This window comes from Homo sapiens, chromosome 3, assembly GCF_000001405.40.
Source record: "Homo sapiens chromosome 3, GRCh38.p14 Primary Assembly".
Classification (NCBI taxonomy): Eukaryota; Metazoa; Chordata; class Mammalia; order Primates; family Hominidae; genus Homo; species Homo sapiens.
The window spans coordinates 66,063,833-66,073,092 of NC_000003.12; the positions used below are offsets into that span (position 1 = coordinate 66,063,833).

General features: G+C 42.6%; 1 annotated feature.

Moving 5' to 3' along the window:
* Positions 1,101–1,685: an enhancer, noted in NCBI's record as "NANOG hESC enhancer chr3:66050608-66051192 (GRCh37/hg19 assembly coordinates)". NCBI's record gives its function as "activates a minimal SCP1, AML or CMV promoter by ChIP-STARR-seq in naive H9 embryonic stem cells {active_cell/tissue: H9 hESC(naive)}" and the evidence as "EXISTENCE:reporter gene assay evidence [ECO:0000049][PMID:30033119]".

Here is a 9,260-nt window from a genome sequence, read left to right on the forward strand (position 1 = left end):
TGATCCACCCACCTCGGCCTCCCAAAGTGCTGGGATTACAGGCGTGAGCCATGTTTTCCTTTCTTTTAGAGACAAGGTCTCAATCTTTTTGAAATGGTTATTTACTTTTGGTGTATTTTCTAGTGTTCATTAAGTCTTCCACATTTTCTTACAGGATTATTTGTCTTTTTATTACTGATTTATAGGAGGGTTTTTTTTGTTTTTTTGTTTTTTGTTTTGTTTTTGTTTTTTTAAGAGACTTTCTCCCCGGCTGGAGTGCAGTGGCACCATCATAGCTCGCTGTAACTCCTGGGCTCAAGTGATCCTCCTGCCTCAGCCTCCTGAGTGGCTGGTACTATAGGCACATGCACCACCACGCCTCCCTAATTTTTAAATTTTTTAACAGAGACGGGTCTTGCTATGTTGCTCAGGCTGGTCTCAAACTCCTGGGCTCAATCATTCCTCCTGGAAGCTTGGTGTCCCATAGTGTTGGGATTACAGGCATAAACTGCTGCACCCAGCTTCCTTTTTTAAAAAAATCATCCTCAGTATTAAATATTATTATTTTTAGTGTGTATTTCCTAAGAACAAGGATATCCTTTGCGTCTTGTGACAAGACACAAAATAATTGAGCAGGCATTGAAAGCCTTCATATTCTCAGAAAAGTAGGTCTTCCCAGCAGACATTAAACATTCTCCTGCAGGCAGGGCACAGTGGCTCACTCCTGTAATCCCAATACTTTGGGAGGCCGAGGCAGGCAGAGCACTTGAGGCCAGGAGTTTGAGACCAGCCTGGCCAACACAGTGAAACCCCATCTCTACCAAAAAAATTACCAAAATATTAGCTGGGCGTGGTGGCACGGCTGTAATCCTAGCTTCTTGGGAAGGTGAGGCAGGAGAATCACTTGAACCTGAGAGGCGGAGGTTGCAGTGAGCCAAGATTGTGCCACTGCATTCCAGCCTGGCAACAGAGCGAGACTCCGTCTCAAAATAAAATAAAATAAAATAAACATACTCCTGGAAATAACATTTTGTTTACTCTCCAAATGCTTAAAATCCTCTGACATCGTATGTATTCTGTTGTATTTTTTCCTTAGGTCATTTTAAATATAATTTTCTTCCCTTCTCTTTTCATTCCTTCTCTCTACATTTTAGGATACCGAAAACTCATTAACTTCGATTCTGCTAAATTAAAATTTGTGGAGTTTTTGAGCAATTCTTTGTCCTCTAAATATGCTAAGAGAATTGTGAAAAACTAAGCATTTGTAAGGGTGCCAGGCTAGTCTACTTAAGGAAATCAATAGTGCTTTGCTTAGGCTTTATTTACATATAAGTGGTTGGTTAATGGCAAATCGCTGTATACTGTTATTTAGTTACCATTTAGGGGACCCTTACTGTGTTTCTGTGTACCTGCTGTAATCGCCACACATCAGTGTTTCAACAACAAACAAGGTAGTTGATGCTCAGAGAGAGTAACTAGCCCAAGATCAGACAGCTGGTAAGTGATTCAGCTGGGATTTGAGCCCAGGCCTCTAAATTCCACCTTTGCTAGATCACTCTGTGCCAGACTAGTTTGATGTGCATATGCAGGCCCTTGTCCTTACAGTTCTTGCCTTACAGCCCTTGGTAGGCACATTGAACATGTACTTAGTTACCAGCAAAGCAATTTCACACACACACACGCGCGCGCGCGCACACACACACACACACACACACACTTTCCTGAAAGCACATCGACAAAAATAAAAAAAAGAAAGAATTAAATATATGTTGTTTCAAGAAAATCAATGATGTAGTATTGGCGGGAAAACTACAACTTTGGCCTTCTTTTCAGGCAGCTTTTATTTTACTTTAGGTTTTTTTTAATTGTTTTTGTTGTTTGTTTGTTTTTTGAGACAGAGTCTCACTCAGTCAGCCAGGTTGGAGTGCAGTGGTGTGATCTCAGCTCATTGCAACCTCCACCTACCAGGTTGAAGTGATTCTCCTGCCTCAGCCTCCCTAGTAGCTGGGACTACTGGCATGCACGACCGTGCCTGGCTAATATTTGTATTTTTAGTAGAGATGGGGGTTTCACCATGTTGGCCAGGCTCGTCTCGAACTCCTGACCTCAAATGATCCACACTTCTCGGCCTCCCAAAGTGCTAGGATTACAGGTGTGAGCCACTCATAATCCCACCGAGCCTGGCCATAAGGGGGATTTTATTTTGAAATACCAAGTAGGGTATGGGCATGGCCATCAGAACCTCGTCAGTCTTTAGAGCCTTTTGAAGTTCTAACTCCAGCCCTGGGTCCTTTAAAAGTAAGAAAACGGCATTTCATTTAAAAATATTATTTTCATTGCTTCAGGGAATGCTTCCCTCACATTGAGTTAATGAGCTTTTCCTGAAAAATTCGGTTGTGAGAGATTTTGCTTTTGAATTACCCAATGCAGAGCACATTCTGAGTGATTAGAGGGGCTCCTAAGATAAAAGGAATCACCTGACAGAAAACACACTTTGGTGCTTAGGAAGAGTTGCCAATGGAGGAGAATTTGGGGGCAGCATTACTTTCTGACTTTTCATGGTTTATATTTGGTCAGCTAAGGATTTAATTATTTCTTCATATTCTGATAAAGTGCCCCTCTGAATACTTAATAGCCCACTCTGGCTACTTGATTTTTATTTCTTTAAAAATCCTTTTTTTTTTTTTTTTTTGTTGGTTGGGTGGGGTGGCTCACGCCTGTAATCCCAGCACTTTGGGAGGCTGAGATGGCTGAATCACCTGAGGTCAGGAGTTTGAGACCAGCCTGGCCAATATGGCAAAACTCAAACTCTACTAAAAATTCAAAAATTAGCCGAGCATGGTGGCGGGCGCCTGTAATCCTAGCTACTCAGGAGGCTGAGGCAGGAAAATCAGTTGAACCCAGGAGGCAAAGGTTGCAGTGGGCCAAGATCGCGCCACTGCACTCCAGCCTCGGCGACAGGGCGAGACTCCATCTCAAAAAAAAAAAAAAATCCTTTTTTTTTTTTTTTGGGAGAAGAGACTGGGAGGAGCATGAAAGGAATTTTGTTAACTTATTTAAGGGGAGAACCATAAAACTGTCTATCTACCCATATTTTTTATATTCCTTTTATATAATGTGTATAATTTACTGTTCAGAAGTATGATTGGTTTCATTTAAATCATATGCATTTTCTAATTATTGCTTGCCTCAAAAATTATGGGAAAGAAAAGTCCTGAGCCATTTGGCACTTCACCTATATAAACAGATGAATGAGTGTTTTATAATAAACATGTGCATGTTTATAATAACAAGTGAGATTGTCCTGATAGGCTGGTAGCAGTAACCACACCGAATATTTGCTGAGTAGTTGCTATTTGCAGGCACTATGAGAAGCACTTCACTCACCTAATCCTTACCTCAAACCTCAGAAGCAGTTACTGCTATTATCCTGTTTTGTAGAGGAAGATAATGAGCCTCATTAAGATTACTTGTGAGCTAAAGCCCCCACAGCTAGCGATCCTATTCAGTCCGACTTCAGATGCTACACTTTGTTTGGGATCAGTCTCTGTTGTCAGGATGGAGAATTGGAAGGGCACTAGAAAGGATTCAGGAAACCACAGAAGGACCTGTTGCAGCTGTCTAGCTAAGAGATGATGGAAGCTGGGACTAGAATTTTGAAGGTGAAAGTATAAGGAAATGGAGGGAAATGGTTAGGTCTCGGTAATGGCTTTGATATGGACATGAGGAAGAAGATGTTATTGAGAACTGGGTTTTTGTTTGACATGGTGGAGGAAAAACATCCATCAAAACTTAGCCTGATTCCTTATTAGAGAAAAGCCAGTCAGAATTAGTGGAAGGTAAGGAATGAAGACACATTTTAAAGGAAACAGTTTCATGATTTTCAGGAAAAAGAACCGGGCTATAAAATGATTTCCAGGTCTGCCCTGAGCACTTGCGCAATAAAGAGTTAGAAACGGTGTGCAATTGGCTGGGCGCGGTGGCTCACGCCTGTAATCCCAGCACTTTGGGAGGCTGAAGCGGGCAGATCACGAGGTCAGGAGATAGTAGCCATCTTGGCTAACACGGCGAAACCCCATCTCTACTAAAAACACAAACAGAAATTAGCCGGGCGTGGTGGCGGGCGCCTGTAGTCCCAGCTACTCCGGAGGCTGAGGCAGGAGAATGGCGTGAACCCGGGAGGCGGAGCTTGCAGTGAGCCGAGATCGCGCCACTGCACTCCAGCCTGGGAGACGGAGCGAGACTCCGTCTCACAAAAAAAAAAAAAAAAAAAAAATGGTGTGCGATTCAAGTATCACTTGGATCGCAAATGGTGCTTCTCAAGTGTTTGAAGGTGATTAAAAGCACTTTGTTTTCTAAGCCGTTTAAATATTCCCTTTGGAAATCTTGTTAAACTCATTTGCTTCCCAAACTCTTTCTCTTTAAAAAGAGGAAAAGATAAACTTCAGCTGAGCCTCTGTCTCAATGAGGCTTTACTCGATTAGAAAATATTGACCAGCTGCATTAGCCCGTGTCTTCTTCTATGGTCAATAGAGTTACTTTCCACAGGCGCTGAATCTGCAATCCACAAAGTCTTAGCTGGTGTTAATGACCGTTTCAGTGACTGCTCCAGCTACTATTTTGCATTCTGCCAAATAGGCTGATGGGAAGAGGGTAGGGATTAGGGGCAGAGTCTCATCCCATGCCTTGGGATGGACAACAAATCCCAGATCCTGGAACCATATTGTGGTAAAGATATTTCCCCTAACACTTGAATACCTATTCATGCTAGACTTCTGAATGTATTACCTTTAGTCTTCACAACCATTAGACAAGAATATTTTATTTTGTCCATTTTGCAAATGACAGAATCAAAACTTCAGCCCTGCATATCCAAATGTCTGCTGGCCCTCTTTACCTGTGCATCATACTAGCAACCATCCAAACAACTAATTATATTCTTTTTTTTTTTTTTTTTGAGGTGGAGTCTTGCTCTGTCACCCAGGCTGGAGTGCAGTGGCATGATCTCAGCTCACTGCAACTTCTGCATCCCAGTTTAAGTGATTCCCCTGCCTCAGCCTCCTGAGTAGCTGGGATTACAGGCATGCGCTACTACGCTAGCTAATTGTTGTATGTTTAGTAGAGACAGGGTTTCACCATGTTGGCCAGGCTGGTCTTGAACTCCTGGCCTCAAATGATCTGCCCACCTCGGCCTCCCAAAGTGCTGGGATTACAGCTGTGAGCCACCGCACCTGGCCAAACAACTAATTATATTCTTTCCTTCCTCCTGTTATTGATATGACAGCAGCCATCTATGATTAGAAATCTAGGCTCATTCTTGATTCCTCCTCTCTCTTAACCTAAATAGACCCTATCAATTGCTAAATTTTAATGGTTTTCCTCCTACTACGTCTGTATTAGGTTTTTTGGTTTTCCCTTTGTATTTGTTTACTATGGCTGCTATAAAAAATAACCACAAACTTTGTGGTTTCACACAACACAAATGTATCCTCCCACAGTTTGGGTGGCCAGAAATCTGAAATGAGTCTTACAAGTCTAACATCAAGGTGTCAGCAAAGCTGATTCCTTCTGGGGGCTCTAAGGGAGAATCCATTTCTGTATCTTTTCTTTTCTTTTTTTCTTTTTCTTTTTCTTTTTTTTTTTTTTTGAGACTGAGTCTCGCTCTATCACCCAGGCTGGAGTGCAATGGCGTGATCTCCGCTCACTGCAACCTCCACCTCCTGGGTTCAAGCGATTCTCCTGCCTCAGCCTCCTGAGTAGCTGGGATTACAGGCACTTGCGACACCACGCCCAGCTAATTTTTGTTATTTTTAGTAGGGATGGGGTTTCATCATGTTGGTCAGGCTGGTCTCAAACTCCTGACCTCAAGATCCGCCCACCTCGGCCTCCCAAAGTGCTGGGATTACAGGCGTGAGCCACCGCACCTGGGCCTCGTGTCTTTTCTAGTTCCTAGAAGTCACCTACATTCCTTGGCTTGTGGCCCCTTCCTTCTACTACATCACTTTTTCTCTCTTTGCTTCCGCAGTCACATGACCTATTTCCTCTCCTACAGTTAAATCTCACTCTGCTTCCATCTTATAAGGGCAATTGTAATTACATCTTGGGCCCACCCAGATACTTCAGGATAATTTCCCCATCTCAAGAGCCTTAACTTAATCACATCTATAAAGTCTTTTTGCCATGTAAAGTAACATTCACAGGTTCAAGGGTTAAGACATGGCCATCCATGGGGGTTATTTTTGAGCCTACTACAACCTCCTAGCCTGGTTCACTGTGTCCCAATCTCTCACCTCCTAGCTGGCCTCCATACCTTTAGTTTAATTCATATTCCCTCCTCAACCCATGATTTACAGCAGTGGTTCCCAAAAGCAGGTCCATAAACTGAACCCTTGGGAAGGTTGTTAAAAATATAGGTGCCAGGGGAGGGTTAGAAGGGGTGAGGGATTAAAAATTACCTCTTGGGTATAGGGTACACTGCTCTGGTGAGGGGTATACTGAAAGCCCAGACTTCACCACTATACAGTTTATCCATGTAACCCAAAACCACTTGTACCACTAAAGTTATTGAAATTTTAAAAAAAGATATCACCTAGCAGAAAAAACAAAACTAATCACATGATTCTGTTCATTAATACCCCTTATAATCTTCTGTTTTGCTTCTGCATATGTGACCAATATAAACATTTTTATGTTAAAAACAAAAAATAGGTGCCTGGGCTCTACCCCTATAGATTCTGATTCAGAAAGTCTAGTGGATCTATGCTTTATAACTTACCACCTGGCCAGGCCCAGTGGCTCACACCTGTAATCCCAACACTTTGAGAGGACAAGGTGGGAGCACTGTTTGAGCCCAGGGTTTGAGATCGCCCTAGGCAACACGGTGAAACCCTGTCTCTACCAAAAAATCAGCCAGGCGTGGTGGCGCACACCTGTAGTCCCAGCTACCCAGGAGGCTGAGGTGGGAGGATCACCTGAGCCTGAGGAGGTGGAGGCTGCTGTGAGCTGTGATCACGCCACTTCACTCCAGCCTGGGCAACCGAGTCAGATGCCATCTCAAAAAATAGAGTAAACGAATAAGCAAAACTTTACGGCATGTTGAAAGCTACAGAATTGCTATAGAGAAGAAACTCAGGATCGGAATTTGAGAGAGTGACCCATAGGAGAATTACCATAAAATTGTCTGCATAACAACCACACTGCTTTTACGTTGCCTCTTACAGATCAACAAAAATAGCAAAGTTTTCTATTTCTAAGGTGTTTTTATTCATATATTACATAGTTTTAAAACAATTGTGTTTTAAATTAGAAGTAGCTTTCAGGGATTGATGCAGGTTAGTGACGGGAGAGAGAGAAGGCTAAAACCTTCCTGCTCCACATCCCACCTTATTATCCTATTGTTTTTCTCATGCCCAGTTAGTTTTGGGGACCTCTCATTCTGACTATAAACTTATTAAGGACAGAGATTGTGTCTCATTCCATATATAATCCCCAGCACCTAGGACACTGGTATATCGTTGGCATTCAATTAATGTATATTCAATAAATGTTCAATTAATCGATGAACAAATGGAATAAATGCTAGTACAAAAGACTTTGTTGGCTGTGCATGGTGGCTTACACCTGTAATCCCAGCACTTTGGAAGCCGAGGTGGGTGGATTGCTTGAGGTCAGAAGTTCGAGACCAGCCTGGCCAACATGGTGAAACCCTGTCTCTACTAAAATGAAAAAAATTAGCTGGGCATGGTGGCAGGTGCCTGTAATCCCAGCTACTTGAGAGGCTGACACAGGAGAATTGCTTAAACCCAGGAGGCGGAAGTTGCAGTGAGCCAAGTTTATGCCACCAGGTGACAGAGTGAGACTCAGTCTAAAAAATAAAATAAAATAAAATAAAATAAGAGTTTGTTGAGTTGTTACTAAAAGACAACCTACATTGATGAGAACCCAAGACTAGGGATTAAAGGATCTCTTGGTTTTGGTGGCAAAGATGGGTGGTTTGCTTGGCCTAGGAGTTTGAGGCCAGTGTGGGCAACATGGTGAAACTCTGTCCTTACAAAAACCACAAACATTAGCTGGGCATGGTGGCATGTACCTCTAGTCCCAGCTATTCATGAGGCTGAGGTGGGAGGTTCACCTGAGTCCAGGGAGGTTAAGGCTGCAGTGAGCCATGACCACACCACTGCACTCCAGCCTGAGTGGCAGAGTGAGACCCTGTGAGCATTTGCTGTTGAAGAGTGTACAGATGCCTGTGATGCAAGCCTAAAGTGAACACAAACACTTCTAGGCAGTCAAAAGCCAAGCAGACGTACATTATTTTGTATCTGTCTAGATATGGGATATACAGATAATAACAAACACCTGAGAAGCACTTACTATGTCCCAGGCACTGTTCTAAGCACTGCACATGTATTAACATGTATGTGTATCATCTCATTTAATTTTTACAAGAACCTTAACATCTCATGAAAATTCCATCTTCCAATGATGAAATAATGTAGTTAAATAACTTGCTCATGGTCACAAAGTTAGGGAGTGGATTCAAACCTGGGCAGCCTAGTTCTAAATTAGGTAACAAGAGAAAGTAAATATGCTGAGTTGTATAACTATCATCATAACACAAGCTAGAACATTGTCGTTACCCCAGTAAGAAGCCACATGCCTGATTAAGTTAATCCCTCTTCCCACCTCCAGCCATAGGAAATCACTAATCTACTTTCTGTCTCTATAGATGTATTTTTCCGATACATTTCATGTAAATGGAATCATACAGCATGTGCTCTTTTGTGTCACCTTCTTTCATTTAGCATATTTTGTAGATTCATCCATGTTGTAGCATGTATTCGTGGTTTGTTTTTTTTTTTTTGAGGTGGAGTCTCGCTCTGTCACCCAGGCTGGAGTGCAGTGGCATGTTCACAGCTCACTGTAACCTCCACCTTCTGGGATCCATTGATCCTTCCACCTCAGCCTCTTGAGTAGCTGGGACTACAGGTGCACAGCACCATACCTAGCTAATTTTTTTTGTGTGTGTGGAGACGGGGTTTCACCATGTTACCCAGGCTGGCCTTGAACTCCTGAGTTCAAGTAATCCACCAATCTTGGCCTCCTAAAGTGCTGGGATTACAGGCATAAGCCAGTACTCCTGGCCTTCTTTCCTTTTTATGGCTGAATAATATTCCATTGGGCAGCTCTACCACATTTTGTTTACCCATTCACCAGTTGATGCATATTTGGGTGGTTTCCACTTTTTGGCTATCATGAATAATGTTGCTATGAATATTCATGTA